This window comes from Homo sapiens, chromosome 8, assembly GCF_000001405.40.
Source record: "Homo sapiens chromosome 8, GRCh38.p14 Primary Assembly".
NCBI classification, from domain to species: Eukaryota; Metazoa; Chordata; class Mammalia; order Primates; family Hominidae; genus Homo; species Homo sapiens.
Genome location: NC_000008.11, coordinates 3,270,735 through 3,289,857, shown reverse-complemented (window position 1 = coordinate 3,289,857; position 19,123 = coordinate 3,270,735). Strand labels below are relative to the sequence as shown.

Here is a 19,123-nt window from a genome sequence, read left to right as displayed (position 1 = left end):
AAGCCAAAACTGACAAATGGTATCTAATTAAACTAAAGAGCTTCTGCACAGCAAAAGAAACTACCATCAGAGTGAACAGGCAACCTACAGAATGGGAGAAAATTATTGCAACCTCCTCATCTGACAAAGGGCTAATATCCAGAATCTACAATGAACTCCAACAAATTTTCAAGAAAAAAACAAACAACCCCATCAAAAAGTGGGCAAAGGATATGAACAGACACTTCTCAAAAGAAGACATTTATGCAGCCAAAAGACACATGAAAAAATGCTCATCATCACCGGCCATCAGAGAAATGCAAATCAAAACCACAATGAGATACCATCTCACACCAGTTAGAATGGCGATCATTAACAAGTCAGGAAAAAACAGGTGCTGGAGAGGATATGGAGAAATAGGAACACTTTTACACTGTTGGTGGGACTGTAAACTAGTTCAACCATTGTGAAGTCAGTGTGGCGATTCCTCAGGGATCTAGAACTAGAAATACCATTTGACCCAGCCATCCCATTACTGGGTATATACCCAAAGGATTATAAATCATGCTGCTATAAAGACACATGCACACGTATGTTTATAGCGGCACTATTCACAATAGCAAAGACGTGGAACCAACCTAAATGTCCAACAACGATAGACTGGATTAAGAAAATGTGGCACATATACACCATGGAATACTATGCAGCCATAAAAAATGATGAGTTCATGTGCTTTGTAGGGACATGGATGAAGCTGGAAACCATCATTCTCAGCAAACTATCTCAAGGACAAAAAACTAAATACCGCATGTTCTCCCTCATAGGTGGGAATTGAACAATGAGAACACACGGACACAGGAAGGGGAACATCACACACCGGGGACTGTTGTGGGGTAGGGGGAGTGGGGAGGGATAGCATTAGGAGATATACCTAATGTTAAATGATGAGTTAATGGGTGTAGCACACCAGCATGGCACATGTATACATATGCAACAAACCTGTAGGTTGTGCACATGTACCCTAAAACTTAAAGTATAATAATAAAATAAAATAAAAGAAATACAATTATAGGAATTAGTCTATATAAAAAAGAGAAAAACCCTTCAAAAAATCAATGAATCCAGGAGCTGGTTTTTTGAAAAGATCAACAAAATTGATAAACTGCTATCAAGAAAAATAAAGAAGAAAAGAGAGAAGAATCAAATAGACACAATAAAAAATGATAAAAGGGATATCACCACCCATCCCACAGAAATACAAACTACCATCAGAGAATACTATAAACACCTCTATGCAAATAAACTAGAAAATCTAGAAGAAATGGATAAATTCTTCGACACATACATCCTGCCAAGACTAAACCAGGAAGAAGTTGAATCTCTGAATAGACCAATAACAGGGTCTGAAATTGAGGCAATAATCAGTAGCTTACCAACCAAAAAAAGTCCAGGACCAGATGGATTCACAGCCGAATTCTACCAGAGGTACAAGGAGGAGCTGGTACCATTCCTTCTGAAACTATTCCAATCAATAGAAAAAGAAGGAATCCTCCCTCGTTTTATGAGGCCAACATCATCCTCATACCAAAGCCTGGCAGAAAAAGAACAAAAAAAGAGAACTTTAGACCAATATCCCTGATGAACATCGATGCAAAAATCCTCAATAAAATACTGGCAAACCAAATCCAGCAATACATCAAAAAGCTTATCCACAATGATCAAGTGGGCTTCATCCCTGGGATGCATGGCTTGTTCAACAAATGAAAATCGATAAATGTAATCCAGCATATAAACAGAACCAAAGACAAAAACCACATGATTATCTCAATAGATGCAGAAAAGGCCTTTGACAAAATTCAACAACCTTTCATGCTAAAAACTCTCAATAAATAAGGTATTGATGGGACGTATCTCAAAATAATAAGAGCTATCTATGACAAACCCACAGCCAATATCATACTGAATAGGCAAAAACTGGAAGCATTCCCTTTGCAAACTGGCACAAGAGAGGGATGCCCTCTCTCACCAGTCCTATTCAACATAGTGTTGGAAGTTCTGGCCAGGGCAATCAGGCAGCTGGAGGAAATAAAGAGTATTCAATTAGGAAAAGAGGAAGTCAAATTGTCCCTGTTGGCAGATGACGTGATTGTATATGGAGAAAACCCCATCGTCTCAGCCCCAAATCTCCTTAAGCTGATGGGCAACTTCAGCAAAGTCTCAGGATACAAAATCAATGTGCAAAAATCACAAGCATTCTCATATGCCAATAACAGACAAACAGAGAGCCAAATCATGAGTGAACTCCCATTCACAATTGCTTCAAAGAGAATAAAATACCTAGGAATCCAACTTACAAGGGATGTGAAGGACCTCTTCAGGGAGAACTACAAACCACTGCTCAAGGAAATAAAAGAGGATACAAACAAATGGAAGAACATTCCATGCTCATAGGTAGGAAGAATCAATATTGTGAAAATGGCCATACTGCCCAAGGTAATTTATAGATTCAATGCCATCCCCTTCAAGTTACCAATGACTTTCTTCACAGAATTAGAAAAAACTACTTTAAAGTTCATATGGAACCAAAAAAGAGCCCGAATCACCAAGTCAATCCTAAGCCAAAAGAACAAAGCTGGAGGCATCACCCTACCTGACTTCAAACTGTACTACAAGGCTACAGTAACCAAAACAGAGATAGAGACCAATGGAACAGAACAGAGCCCTCAGAAATAATGCTGCATATCTACAACTATCTGATCTTTGACAAACCTGATAAAAACAAGCAATGGGGAAAGCATTCCCTATTTAATAAATGGTGCTGGGAAAACTGGCTAGCCATATGTAGAAAGCTGAAACTGGATCCCTTCCTTACACCTTATACAAAAATTAATTCAAGATGGATTAAAGACTTAAATGTTAGAACTAAAACCATAAAAACCCTAGAAGAAAACCTAAGCAATACCATTCAGGACATAGGCATGGGCAAGGACTTCATGTCTAAAACACCAAAAGCAATGGCAACAAAAGCCAAAATTGACAAATGGGATCTAAATAAACTAAAGAGCTTCTGCACAGCACAAGAAACTACCATCAGAGTCAACACTCAACCTACAGAATGGGAGAAAATTTTTGCAATCTACTCATCTGACAAAGGGCTAATAACCAGAATCTACAATGAACTCTAACAAATTTACAAGAAAAAAACAACCCCTTCAATAAGTGGGTGAAGGATATGAACAGACACTTCTCAAAAGAAGACATTTATGCAGCCAAAAAACATATGAAAAAATGCTCATTATCACCGGCCATCAGAGAAATGCAAATCAAAACCACAATGAGATACCATCTCACACCAGTTAGAATGGCGATCATTAACAAGTCAGGAAAAAACAGGTGCTGGAGAGGATGTGGAGAAATAGGAACACTTTCACACTCTTGGTGGGACTGTAAACTAGTTCAACCATTGTGGAAGTCAGTGTGGCCATTCCTCAGGGATCTAGAACTGGAAATACCATTTGACCCAGCCATCCCATTACTGGGTATATACCCAAAGGATTATAAATCATGCTGCTATAAAGACACATGCACACGTATGTTTATAGCGGCACTATTCACAATAGCAAAGACTTGGAACCAACCCAAATGTCCAACAATGATAGACTGGATTAAGAAATTGTAGCACATATACGCCATGGAATGCTATGCAGCCATAAAGAAGTATGAGTTCATGTCCTTTGTAGGGACATGGATGAAGCTGGAAACCATGATTCTCAGCAAACTATCTCAAGGACAAAAAACCAAACGCCTCATGTTCTCACTCATAGGTGGGAGTTGAACAGTGAGAACACATGGACACAGGAAGGGGAACATCACACACTGGGGCCTGTTGTGGGAAGTGGGGAGGGATAGCATTAGGAAATTTATCTAATGTTAAATGGTGAGTTAATGGGTGCAGCAGACCAACATGGCACATGTATACACATGTAACAAACCTGCACGTTGTGCACATTTACCTTAAAATTTAAAGTATAATAATAATAAAATATATATATATATACACAAATGGGGATATTACATTACAACTTCAGAGTGTGTGATAAGAGAAAGAACCAATGATTTGGTGGAGTGGAGGCAAAAAATTGTTGCATGTATAAGATTTTTTGTTTTATAAAAAGTTCTGGTCTGGGCGTGGTGGCTCATGCCTGTAATCACAGCACTTTGGGAGGCCGAGGCAGGTGGATCACCTGAGGTGAGGAGTTCAAGACCAGCCTGGTCAACTTGGTGAAACCCCATGTCTACTATAAATACAAATAATAATACTAATAATAACTGAACATGACAGCTCATGCTTGTAGTCCTAGCTTCTTGGGAGGCTGAGGCAGGAGAATCACTTGAACCCAGGAAGTAGAGGTTGCAGTGAGCCAAGATCATGACACTGCACTCCAGCCTAGGAGAGGGAGCGACATCCCATCTCTAGAAAAAAAAAAAAAGTTCTGACAAAAATAGGGCAAAATGTAGGAAAATAAAGATCTACTATCTGCTATACTTTTCTCTATATTTAAGGATTTATCTTGATTATTTTAAAAATACACCACACATTCCATACCTTACACAGGGTGACATAAGTGTTTTCTTTAAACATGTAATATATGCAAAACAAAGCAGTTGAGACTCGTGGGTAGTTTTTTTGTTTGTCGTCCACTGTGACTTTACCTCCCTTGTAATCGGTGTGCAATACGCAGGAAATAAAAAACTGTAAATCAGACCCATTCAGGGCTGCTAATTTTTGTTGGTGTTTCAACTAAACCCTTCTTGCTTCAATGGCCCTAAATAGGACTACATAGATCCTGCTGCCTCTGAATGTGAGTCCTTAGGCATAGAGATTTTTAAGTCACTCTGAAAAATACCTGGAAGTCTAATAGAAGTATGGTAAAATTTTATAAAGAAGGGAGTTTATGTTACCCATTTTTGCCTTTCTGTTGGTATTTTAAATGATGAAGTTTTAAAATATAATTTTTAGAAAGAAGTACAACACAAGAGCAGACCATTCAGACACAGGTAGAAAAGGTCGTAATGGAGTAAGCTCTTTTCTCCTGCTGTGGCTGCTGCCACCTAGCGGGGCATTTCGTGAACAACACTGACTGCACCGAAGCTGCCTTCCATCTGCTTCAAACACATCTGTCAATGCCAAGCTTATATTTGGTTTGTGTGCCGTAGAAAGCTTAAATTATACAGAGATCTGGAAGTCTCAAAAGCAATCCTTTTATCCTAAAATGGATAGCTCAGCATCTAGCTCACCTATCTCTCTGCGTCCATGACAGACTGAGGTCCTGTGTGCTTTATCCTAATTTACACTCCTGAATTATCTTCGGTGAGCCTCATTTTCCTCATCCTTCATTGTCAGACAGTAAGTACCGAGGCACATGTTGGTGGGGGTTGTGTGAAAGCGAAATGAGCTTGCTTACTTTACAGCTATGGGGTCAGGACATGCTCGATGCACGGCAAGTAGCGCTACTGTGTTCTCTCTTGCAGCCTCCATTTCATTGTTTTCGACACGGAGATGGCTCACGACATCCTCAAGGTCTGGGACGGGCCGGTGGACAGTGACATCCTGCTGAAGGAGTGGAGTGGCTCCGCCCTTCCGGAGGACATCCACAGCACCTTCAACTCACTCACCCTGCAGTTCGACAGCGACTTCTTCATCAGCAAGTCTGGCTTCTCCATCCAGTTCTCCAGTAGGTGGCACAGCGTGCTTCTTCTTTACCTTGATATCAAAGTCTTGTCATGAACACAGATCTCCCTCCATTTATATTCACCAGCGTCTCCTTACACAGATGCAATTTATTGAGCCTAATTTGAAGTTAGGAAAATGCATGTTGCAGAGAAGAGTTCTCTTCCCCCATTGCTGGGTTCATGGCTGAGGCCACGATAACAGAAGCCAGCTTAAGAGAAATGCATAACCAAACTCATTTGATGTGCATTTTGCATGCCACTGGAACCTTCAGAAATGAAGACCCAAAGAAAGAGAGAAAATTGTGTGTTTTAATGTATAGTCGTGCAGAAGTATGATTAGAGGACGAAAAGATAGAATTTAGTGGTGATAAACGGGGAGGAACTTAAGTCTCCTTTGCTCAGCTTCTTCCCTGTGTGTCTATGTCTTCATTCCTTTCCTCTGCATCCTGGGAGTGTCCTTCTGGAATGAAGGTTTCATGACCTGCTTCCAAGGAAGGCCAGAGAATTATTCTATGCCCTGCTTCAGGGCAGAAGGGGCAAGTAGAGGCTGGAGTGGCTTTCCTGCTTCTGCAGTTTCCTCAAAACTGCATATTTTGGAGTGGTTCTGAACACTGTCAGTATCAAAGGAAAATTTTGTTTTAGGGAATTCTTTTCATTATAAGATCAGGACCAGCAATGGACCTACTTAGTTACATAAAAAAAAAAACGTACGACTTTAAAGGTTTCAATTAGTCAGTAAATTTCTAGACTTGGATGCAAGACAGGTGTGGGTCTCTACATAAATGTAGAGCCTATCTTCAGGGCTCCCCTAACCCAGCCCCGATTCCAGGTTCCCTACATGCCCCAGTCTGACACTTTCTTTATGTAATGAAGTCTCTCTGCAAACAACCTGCTAATCAAACACGCTTTGATTCTCTGCTTGCAACTTCCCGGTTCAGGACGGTCCGTGAATTTTTTTTCCACCTTAGGGATAAAGTTTCAAGAAGCTAATATGACAGAGGAACCTCTGCTGAATTACTAGTGTGAAACCACATCTGCACACGTGAACTATAATCTCCTAAAGATAGTTGCCATTTTTGCTGTCTAGCCCATTTTTGATGAAAGGTTTCCGAAGGAGGAAGGAGTGGAGATATTTTGTGGCAGTTCAGCCTTTTAGTGCCCTTCGGATGGCACCGTGGAGAGATGCCATATTATTGGGCAGCACACAAGGTCAGCCATCATCATAAAACAAGTGGAATTTGCACACAAACACATTCAGACTCAATTTATCTCTTGGCAGCTCACTGACAAGTCATATTTAGGATTTACATAAGAAAATTGAGTTAGGTCAGTTTAATGCTTTAAAAGGTTGCTAATATAATTGAGGTTATAGTCTGCACAATTTCTTACCTCTGGTTATAGTCTGCACAATTTCTTACCTCTGGTTTCACTGTGCTCTGAACAGTGATTTGCAAACACGTGCCTGTGGAATAGTACTTGTACATGGTAAAATTTTCACTGGTCCTTCACAAAAAATATGAAAGTAAGAGTGTTCCAACTATCCTGCCTTGGGGGAAAAAAAGTCCTTTACTCCAAAATTATATCACTCTTGTTTTTTGTTGTGATATAAAATTTTCTTAATCTTTTGAAATGGTGGCAAGAGCAGATGGTAGAATTGTGATTCATTGGCCTTATTTAGCAAAACAAAAAAGTTGAGAAAGTTATGAGATTATGTTCATTTTCCTCTTCTTTCCATTCTGTATTCTCCAGGCATTTTTTTCAACAGGTTTTATTTTTTTAGAGTAGTTTTGCACTGGCAGTAAGATTGAGTAGAAGGCACAGAGTTCCCACGTGCTCTCTGTCCACAGCACACAGCCTCCTCCCTGTCAACATCCCCACAGAGTGGTCCATTTGTTGCAATCAATGAACCTACACTGACCCATCATTATCAGCCGATATCCACAGTTTTCTCCGGGTTCACTTTTGGTGTTATGCATTCCATGGGTATATTATTCCATCTTCATATTGCTGTAAAGAACTATCTGAGACTGGGTAATTTATCAAGAAAAGAGGTTTAATTGAGTCACAACTCAGCAGGCTGTACAGAAGGCATGGCTGGGAGGGCCTCAGGAAACTTACAGTCATGGCAGAAGGTAAAGGGGAAGCAGTCACATCTTCCACGACCGGGGAAGGGGAAAGACAGAGTGAAGCGGAAGGTGCTACGTGCTTTTAAACAATCAGATCTCCTGAGAACTCTATCATGAAGACAGCACTGGGGGATGGTACTAAACCATTAGAAACTACCCCCATGATCCAATCAACCCCTCCAGGCACTACCTCCAACAGTGGGGATTACAATTCAACATGGGTGGGGACGCAGATCCAAACCATATCAATGAGTTTGGAAAAATGCATCTGTAGTAATAACATCACCAACAGTCATTTCCCTGCCCTAACAATTCCCTGTGTTCTGCCTGTTCATCCCTTCCTTCCTCCTAATTCCTAGCAATCACTCTTTTCACTGTCTCCATAGTTTTGTCTTTTCCTGAAAGTCACAGAGTTAGAATCACGCAGTGTGTGGCCTTTCATGTTGTCTTCTTTCACTTAGTAAGACACTTTCAAGCTCCAGGTCTTTTCATGGCTGTACGGATCATTTCTTTTTAGCAGCGAATAATATTCTATTGACTTGTTGTACCACAGTTTATTTACCCGTTTTTTTCCTTGAGATGGAGTCTTGCTTTGTCGCCCAGGCTGGAGTGCAGTGGCATGATCTTGGCTCACTGGAGCCTCTGCCTCCTGGGTTCCAGGAATTCTCCTGCCTCAGCCTCCCGAGTAGCTGGGATTACAAGCACGCACCAACACACCTGGCTATTTTTTTGTATTTTTAGCCTAGACAGGGTTTCATTATCCTGTCCAGGCTAGTGTCAAACTCCTTACCTCAGGTGATCCACCTGCCTCAGCCTCCCAAAGTGCTGGGATTACAGGCGTGAGCCACCTCGCCCAGCCTGTTTACCCATTTTCTTATTGAAGGACATACGGGTTGCTTCAAAATTTTGGCAATTATGCCTAAAGCTGCCTCTAAACATCTGTGTGCAGGTTTTTGTGTGGACGTAAGTTTTCAGTTCACCTGACTAGATACCTAAGAAGAGGGTTCATGGATTATGTGGAAAGAATGTACTTCATTTTACTCCTGGCCTTTTAAAATCTTCCTGTTTTAACAATCACTGTTGAAACCTGGCCATCACTTCTTTTTTTTCTATATATTCATGATTCTCTCTTCAGAGAACATCTTTCTAACTTGGGTAGAAAAAAAGAAGAAGACCCTTTATTATAATTATTTGAGGATCATGGAAATGTTTCTTCTCATATAATTAATTATTAGTGTTTAGTAAGAAATAAGCATGAAGACACCATGAAAGTTTCTACAGAAATGACAATTACTATTTTTTACTCAGTTTTCCATGTGTACTAGTTTGAATCATATGAAATTGTCATTTTTATACGTAAAAAATGATTGAATGTTGACAATTTCACATGGTTTCACGTAACACTTGGATAGGATCCATCCCTCCAACCCTATCACTAGTTAATAAATCCAAATTCTGGTATAAATTTTCAGAAATACTCATTTAGGGGCTAGAATATAACATTGACTCTGAGGCATTTAAATGAAGGATTTTCTGCAAGATTGTCTTTAGAAGTTTATTGAAAGGAAAAACAAGATATAAAAACTTAGAGTGGTACAACATTTAAAAAGCATAGTCTAGACTACAACTCTGGAAATGTGAGTTTCTATCTTGACCTCTAATGCTTTGAGACTGACCTTTTGTCTCTGTTATTTTTACTTTATTTATGAAATGAGGATAGAGTATCAATTTCTAAGGACATTTCTGTCTTCCATAATTCCACGCTGGATGTCATTTATTTTCCCTTTGGCCCCAAATCTACTACTTTCTCTTCCTTTAACTACTCTGTGGCTCTCGAGGCAAACCTGTATTGGGTTATTCCAATAAGAAGCCCCAGCATGGGTGAAGAGATGGGGCAGGAGGGCATGTCAGGGCACAGAGGCCTAGTACCTCTCTCTTCAGGTACCCCGGGGGCCGATGTGCCCCAAGATCAACACGGACGGCTTTGCTCAAGCTGCTGCATTGACCATCTCTTTCCGGATCTCTGTACTAATTCCAAGTAACCTTCCTGATACGGTTAGGTTCTACGTCCCCACCCAAATCTCACCTTGAATTGTAATGCTCATAATCCATATGTGTCAAGGGTGGGACCAGGTGGAGGTGGTTGGATCATGAGGGCAGTTTCCCCCATGCTGTTCTCATGACAATAAGTAAGTCTCATGAGATCTGTTGGTTTTATAAGGGTCTGGCATTTCTCCTGCTTGCACTTCTCCTTTCTAACACCCTCTAAAGAAGGTGCTTTGCTTCCCCTTCACCTTCCTCCATGATTGTAAGTTTCCTGAGGCCTCCCCAGCCATGCTGAACTGTGAGTTAATTAAACCTCTTTCCTTTATAAATCACCCAGTCTCAGGTATGTTTTTATTAGCTGCATGAGAGCAGACTAATATAATCCCTTCTTCCTAGAATTTCCAAACCCAACCTTAGGCAAGAAACTCTCAAATTATCCCACTGGGATTGTCATACGTACCATGTGGCATTTTAAAAAATACAGTTCTGTAAAGGACCTTGGCAAGCATATGAAATGCCTGTGAGTGTACTACAATCAGGGCTGTAAAATAAAAGTCATTTTCCTAAGACAAATTATATCCAGTTCTAGCTCCCATGCATTCGAGTTGACAAGAAGTCCAATACCAGTCTATTTTTAAAATCTGCTGCCAATTTTGGATGGCCAGGGAGTTGCTGGATGATTCAGTGTGGTGAGTCCAGAGAGGGACATGGTCCTGCCTCTCCACTAGTCATTATATTCCCTCGTGCTCTCATTTGGGGGCCAACGGTCTGGGCGGCCACAGTAATTCATGTCATGTGTTTCTCTCTAAGGATCTCAGGCTGGAACACGAAGACGCTGGTCTGACCACCCCAAAGCCAGTCATTCAGCTACTCTCCACAAAATGTAGCTTGCCACTTCTGGGAACCAGTGAGAATCGGGCACCAGTCTCCATCTCCCTGAGAACCTGATAAACATTTGACTCCTACACCTGGAATAAATCATGTCCTGGTTTTCTAGTTTTAGAAAAGAAGGTTCCTATAACCCCTCAGTCGTAATTAAGAAACTGACCCAGTTACCCTGCTTCACTGCAGGAAGAAACTGGGCTGTTATGTCCCTCTCACTCCACCCACATTCGTCCCCTCACTGGCGAATCCAGCCATGAAACTAAATCAAGCTGGTGTCTTTCCAAACCAAAGGTGGGAAACTCTTCACAAAGTGCAAAACAGCCTGTCCATCACACCCAAGAAGCCATCACTACTCTTTTGTAGGTGGGAGGATGGGTGGGAAGATGGAAATCTCTCATTTTTTTGTCTTTATGAACCTGGGACCAAAAAAAAAACGAGGAACTTTACCTATAAATTAGATTGTGTTGTGATTCATAAACCATGCTAATTTTATAATTTAAAACATTGGAATTAGTTATGATTTTAAAAATTTTTAAATAGAACTCAAAAAGAAATGTTTTCCTCATATGATTGATGTTTTAAGTGTGGCCATTGTTTCCAAGCAAAAATGACATTTATTCAATTGTATTAAATGAGATTTCTTAGTAGGCTATTTTTACTTGATTCTATGTCAGTAACATGTGAAATAAGCATTAGAGGTGTGATTAAATTATTGGAGAGAAAATAGTTATGTGAATATTTGTTTTCTTGGACACATTTGAATTACTATATTTTTCCCAAGCACACTTTGAAGTACATTTTAAAAAATAATTTAACATCAGGGTTGCACTACCTCTCTATCTTGTAATTCCATGTTACATTGGAGCTTTTTAAACACTTATTTGACTCTCTCTTCTGGAAACTCTTTCTTCAGTTGTTTTTCATCTTATTATTCTCTCTTGTTCCTCCTTATTCCAAGGGTCACTCTATCATTGGCTCTTTGGCTGATTCATATATTTTTTCCCTTGAAACTCTAAAGATCAGATGCCAGGAGGGCTTGTCCTTGGGTCTCCCTTTCTTCTCTATCCATATATTTTTTAAGAAGCAACAAACATTAAGATACCCACGAAGGTTTCTGCAGAAATGACGCTTGCTTACTTTTCTTTTACTCAGCTTTTCATGTGTACCAATTTGAACTGTATAAAATTGTCACTTTTGTAGGGAAGAAATGATGGAATGTTGGCAATTCCATGTGGTTTAATGTAACCCTTGGACATAATTCATCCCCCCAATCCCATTACTAGTTAATAAATGTCCAATTCTGGTACTCCTAAGGAAACACCAGCCAGCCTCCCAGGCTTCTCCCCTGAGTGTCCACCTGCCTTCTTGATGTCTCTGCTTTGCTGCAGAGATGCAGAGAGGCAACTCAACACCTGAAACTCAACCACAGTCCTTGTTCATGCTTTTCCCAATCCTGGGCCCCTTGACATCTTCCCGGTTTTGGTAAAGTCAACTCCATCCTGCCAGTGGCTCAGGCTGTCAGGATGAAACTTTTGGAGCCATTTTTAGACCTCTGTAGATCTCACACCACACAGAGAATCCAACAATGCATTCAGTGGAGTCCCTATTCAAAATAGATCCAAAATCCAATTCTCCCAACCTGTGCCCTGCCGCCTTGGTCTACGCCGCTGGGGGTCTGAGCTGCCCTGCCTTGCTCACGGGCTTCCTTCTTCATGCACCTGCGTACTTTCTGGCCCACCTGCGCACAGGCACCCAGGTGAACCTTTTCCGCAGCAACGTGGGCAACGCCTCACTTCTGCTTAGAACTCTCCCCTATCTTCTCATCTCAGCCAGGGTGACTTCTCATTCTCCCCACTGCCAAAAATAAGGCCACAAAACCCTCTGAAAACTTCCCCTAAGCAATTTTCAACATCATCCTCAATCACCATCCTCCACTCTGGCAAAGCCTACAGAAACCTCTACTCAGATGCTAGCCTCTCTCAGCTTGGATGTGTGTTCCTGTTACACACTGGACTGACCTTCCCCGCCTTGTTGCACAAGAAATTCCAGTGTGCCTATCTCACATTCAAAGGTTTCTTTAGCGAAGACAATCACATTGTCACTTCCAGTCCCCAAACACAATGTTTATACTTCTATAATAGTGCTTAGCCCATTGTGGGTTACCATTTTATTAATACAGTGGATTAAGTTACTTGAGGGCAGATGGTCTTTGTTTTCCTAGAACATGACATATAATCAATATCCAACAAGTGTCTGCTAATTAGATATGCGTGAAAATTTTCCACGTGCATAAATGTTGAAAATATTAGTATGACTTTGCATAATGAATACCTCTTCATCTACTGTAAACAATATGCTTTGTAATTGAGCTGAGCTTAATTCAAAATTTTCATAGTAAAGCCTTTAATAAATATGTAACTGCTATTTTAATAATGATACGGTTTGGCTGTGTCCCCACCCAAAACTTATCTTGAATTGTAGCTCCCACAATTCCCACGTATCATGGGAGGGACCCAGTGGGAGGTAATCGAATCATGGGAGCAGGTCTTTCTTCTGCTGTTCTCATGATAGTGAATAAGACTCATGAGATCTCATGGTTTTATAAATGGGAGTTTCCCTGCACAAGCTCTCTCTTCTCTGCCACCATGTAAGATGTGACTTGCAGTCGGAGAAGCCAAGATGAACGAATAGGAACAGCTCCGGTCTACAGCTCCCAGCGTGAACGACACAGAAGATGGGTGATTTCTGCATTTCCATCTGAGCTTTGAAGAGAGCAGTGGTTCTCCCAGCATGCAGCTGGAGATCTGACAACAGGAAGACTGCCTCCTCAAGTGGGTCCCTGACCCCCAAGAAGCCTAACTGAGAGGCACCTCCCAGCAGGGGTAGACTGACACCTCACACGGCCGAGTACTCCAACAGACCTGCATCTGAAGGTCCTGACTGTTAGAAGGAAAACTAACAAACAGAAATGACATCCACACCAAAAACCCATCTGTACATCAACAGCATCAAAGACCAAAAGTAGATAAAACCACAAAGATGGGGAAAAAACAGAGCAGAAAAACTGGAAACTCTAAAAAGCAGAGTGCCTCTCCTCCTCCAAAGGAACACAGTTCCTCACCAGCAACGGAACAAAGCTGAACAGAGAAAGAGTTTGACAAGCTGAGAGAAGAAGGCTTCAGACAATCAAATTACTCTGAGCTACAGGAGGACATTCAAACCAAAGGCAAAGAAGTTGAAAACTATGAAAAAAGTTTAGAAGAATGTATAACTAGAATAACCAATACAGAGAAGTGCTTAAAGGAGCTGATGGAGCTGAAAACCAAAGCTCCAGAACTACGTGAAGAATGCAGAAGCCTCAGGAGCCGATGCGATCAACTGGAAGAAATGGTATCAGTGATGGAAGATGAAATGAATGAAATGAAGCGAGAAGGGAAGTTTAGAGAAAAAAGAATAAAAAGAAACGAGCAAAGCCTCCAAGAAATATGGGACTATGTGAAAAGACTGAATCTACGTCTGATTGTCGTACCTGAAAGAGACAGGGACAATGGAACCAAGTAGGAAAACACTCTGCAGGATATTATCCAGGAGAACTTCCCCAATCTAGCAAGGCAGGTCAACATTCACATTCAGGAAATACAGAGAATGCCACAAAGATACTCCTCGAGAAGAGCAACACCAAGACACATAATTGTCAGATTCACCAAAGGTGAAATGAAGGAAAAAATGTTAAGGGCAGCCAGAGAGAAAGGTTGGGTTACCCTCAAAGGGAAGCCCATCAGACTAACAGCAGATCTCTTGACAGAAACTCTACAAGCCAGAAGAGAGCGGTGGCCAATATTCAACATTCTTAAAGAAAAGAATTTTCAACCCAGAATTTCATATCCAGCCAAACTAAGCTTCATAAGTGAAGGAGAAATAAAATACTTTACAGACAAGCAAATGCTGAGAGATTTTGTCACTACCAGGCCTTCACTAACAGAGCTCCTGAAGGAAGCGCTAAACATGGAAAGGAACAAAAGGTACCAGGCACGGCAAAATCATGCCAAATTGTAAAGACCATCAAGGCTAGGAAGAAACTGCATCAACTAACGAGCAAAATAACCAGCTAACATCATAATGACAGGATCAAATTCACACATAACAATATTAACTTTAAATGTAAATGGACTAAATGCACCAATTAAAAGACACAGACTGGCAAACTGGACACAGAGTCAAGACCCATCAGTGTGCACTATTCAGGAAACACATCTCACGGGTACAGACACACATAGGCTCAAAATGAAAGGATGGAGGAAGATCTACCAAGCAAATGGAAAACAAAAAAAGGCAGGGGTTGCAATCCTAGTCTCTCATAAAACAGACTTTAAACCAACAAAGATCAAAAGAGACAAAGAAGGCCATTACATAATGGTAAAGGGATCAATTCAACAAGAAGGGCTAACTATCCTAAATATATATGCACCCAATACAGGAGCACCCAGATTCATAAAGCAAGTCCTGAGTGACCTACAAAGAGACTTAGACTCCCACACATTAATAATGGGAGACTTTAACACCCCACTGTCAACTTTAGACAGATCAACAAGACAGAAAGTCAACAAGCATACCCAGGAACTTAACTCAGCTCTGCACCAAGCGGACCTAATAGACATCTACAGAACTCTCCACCCCAAATCAACAGAATATACATTTTTTTCAGCACCACACCACACCTACTCCAAAATTGACCACATAGTTGGAAGTAAAGCACTCCTCAGCAAATATAAAAGAACAGAAATTGTAACAAACTGTCTCTCAGACCACAGTGCAATCAAACTAGAACTCAGGATTAAGAATCTCACTCAAAACCGCTCAACTACATGGAAACTGAACAACCTGCTCCTGAATGACTACTGGGTACATAACGAAATGAAGGCAGAAATAAAGATGTTCTTTGAAACCAACGAGAACAAAGACACAACATACCAGAGTCTCTGGGACACATTCAAAGCAGTGTGTAGAGGGAAATTTATAGCACTAAATGCCCACAAGAGAAAGCAGGAAAGATCCAAAATTGACACCCTAACATCACAATTAAAAGAACTAGAAAAGCAAGAGCAAACACATTCAAAAGCTAGCAGAAGGCAAGAAATAACTAAAATCAGAGTAGAACTGAAGGAAATAGAGACACAAAAAACCCTTCAAAAAATTAACGAATCCAGGAGCTGGTTTTTTGAAAGGATCCACAAAATTGGTAGACCACTAGCAAGACTAAGAAAAAAACAGAGAGGAATCAAATAGATACAATAAAAATGATAAAGGGGATATCACCACCAATCCCACAGAAATACGAACTGCCATCAGAGAATACTACAAACACCTCTATGCAAATAAACTAGAAAATCTAGAAGAAATGGATAAATTCCTGGACACATACACTCTCCCAAGACTAAACCAGGAAGAAGTTGAATCTCTGAATAGACCAAAAACAGGAGCTGAAATTGTGGCAATAATCAATAGCTTACCAACGAAAAAGAGTGCAGGACCAGATGGACTCACAACCGAATTCTACCAGAGGTACAAGGAGGAATTTGTACCATTCCTTCTGAAACTATTCCAATCAATAGAAAAAGAGGGAATCCTCCCTAACTCATTTTATGAGGCCAGCATCATCCTGATACCAAAGCCTGGCAGAGACACAACCAAAAAAGAGAATTTTAGACCAATATCCTTGATGAACATTGATGTAAAAATCCTCAATAAAATACTGGCAAACCGAATCCAGCAGCACATCAAAAAGCTTATCCACCATGATCAAGTGGGCTTCATCCCTGGGATGCAAGGCTAGTTCAATATACGCAAATCTATAAATGTAATCCAGCATATAAACAGAACCAAAGACAAAAACCACATGATTATCTCAATAGACGCAGAAAAGGCCTTTGACAAAATTCAACAACCTTTCATACTAAAAACTCTCAATAAATAAGGTATTGATGGGACGTATCTCAAAATAATAAGAGCTATCTATAACAAACCCACAGCCAATATCATACCGAATGGGCAAAAACTAGAAGCATTCCCTTTGAAGACTGGCACAAGACAGGGATGCCCTCTCTCACCACTCCTATTCAACATAGTGTTGGAAGTTCTGGCCAGGGCAATTAGGCAGGAGAAGGAAATAAAGGGTATTCAATTAGGAAAAGAGGAAGTCAAATTGTCCCTGTTTGCAGACGACATGATTGTATATCTGGAAAACCCCACTGTCTCAGCCCAAAATCTCCTTAAGCTGATAAGCAACTTCAGCAAAGTCTCAGGATACAAAATCAATGTACAAAAATCACAAGCATTCTTATACACCAACAACAGACAAACAGAGAGCCAAATCAGGAGTGAACTCCCATTCACAATTGCTTCGAAGAGAATAAAATACCTAGGAATCCAACTTACAAGGGATGTGAAGGACCTCTTCAAGGAGAACTACAAACCACTGCTCAAGGAAATAAAAGAAGATACAAACAAATGGAAGAACATTCCATGCTCATGGGTAGGAAGAATCAATATCGTGAAAATGGCCATACTGCCCAAAGTAATTTACAGATTCAATGCCATCCCCTTCAAGTTACCAATGACTTTCTTCCCAGAATTGGAAAAAACTACTTTAAAGTTCATATGGAACCAAAAAGGAGCCCACATTGCCAAGTCAGTCCTGAGCCAAAAGAACAAAGCTGGAGGCATCAGACTACCTGACTTCAAACTATGCTACAAGGCTACCGTAACCAAAACAGCATGGTACTGGTACCAAAACAGAGATATAGATCAATGGAATAGAACAGAGCCCTCAGAAATAACGCCGCATATCTACAACTATCTGATCTTTGACAAACCTGAGTAAAACAAGCAATGGGGAAAGCATTCCCTATTTAATAAATGGTGCTGGGAAAACTGGCTAACCATATGCAGAAAGCTGAAACTGGATCCCTTCCTTACACCTTATACAAAAATCAATTCAAGATGGATTAAAGACTTAAACATTAGACCTAAAACCATAAAAACCCTAGAAGAAAACCTAGGCATTACCATTCAGGACATAGGCATGGGCAAGGACTGCATGTCTCAAACACAAAAAGCAAAGGCAACAAAAGCCAAAATTGACAAATGGGATCTAATTAAACTGAAGAGCTTCTGCACAGCAAAAGAAACTACCATCAGAGTGAACAGGCAACCTACAAAATGGGAGAAAATTTTCACAACCTACTCATCTGACAAAGGGCTAATATCCACAATCTATAATGAACTCAAACAAATTTACAAGAAAAAAACAAACAACCCCATCAAAAAGTGGGCAAAGGACATGAACAGACACTTCTCAAAAGAAGACATTTATGCAGCCAAAAAACACATGAAAAAATGCTCATCATCACTGGCTATCAGAGAAATGCAAATTGAAAACCACAATGAGATACCATCTCACACCAGTTGGAATGGCAATCATTAAAAAGTGAGGAAACAACAGGTGCTGGAGAGGATGTGGAGAAATAGGAACACTTTTACACTGTTGCTGGGACTATAAACTAGTTCAACCATTGTGGAAGTCAGTGTGGACATTCGTCAGGGATCTAGAACTAGAAATACCATTTGACCCAGCCATCCCATTACTGGGTATATACCCAAAGGAATATAAATCATGCTGCTATAAAGACACATGTACACGTATGTTTATTGTGGCATTATTCACAATAGCAAAGACTTGGAACCAACCCAAATGTCCAACAATGATAGACTGGATTAAGAAAATGTGGCACATATACACCATGGAATACTATGCAGCCTTAAAAAATGATGAGTTCATGTGCTTTGTAGGGACATGGAAGAAATTGGAAATCATCATTCTCAGTAAACTATCGCAAGAACAAAAAACCAAACACCGCATATTCTCACTCAAAGGTGGGAACTGAACAATGAGAACACGTGAACACAGGAAGGGGAACATCACACTCTGGGGACTGTTGTGGGGTGGGGGGAGGGGGGAAGGACAGCATTGGGAGATATACCTATTGCTAGATGACAAGTTAGTGGGTGCAGCGCACCAGCATGGCACATGTATACATATGTAACTAACCTGTACGTTGTGCACATGTACCCTAAAACTTACAGTATAATAATAATAAATAAAAAATTAAAAAAAAAAAGAAAAAAAGATGTGACTTGCTCCTGCTTACCTTCTGCCATAATTGTGAGGCCTCCCCAGCCATGTGAAACTGTGAGTCAATTAAAACTCTTTTCTTTATAAATTACCCAGTCTTGGGTATGTCTTTATCAGCAGCATGAAAACAGACTAATACAAATAGCAAAGTTCCTTCCCCTCT

The 19,123-nt window shown here is 40.5% G+C and overlaps 1 protein-coding gene across 5 annotated transcripts in view; it reads left to right on the top strand.

The window, feature by feature from the left end:
* The window catches only part of CSMD1 (CUB and Sushi multiple domains 1), a 2,059,554-nt gene that overhangs the window by 1,705,057 nt on the left and 335,374 nt on the right, over positions 1-19,123 (top strand). For 4 of the 5 annotated variants that reach the window (XM_011534752.3, NM_033225.6, XM_011534753.4 and 1 more), the window contains one exon: positions 5,512-5,714. In XM_011534752.3, the coding sequence (XP_011533054.1) occupies positions 5,512-5,714 (203 nt within the window). Of the gene's footprint in view, positions 1-5,140; positions 5,387-5,511; positions 5,715-19,123 lie in introns of those variants that run through there. The other variant, XM_011534754.2, reaches the window with a different exon arrangement.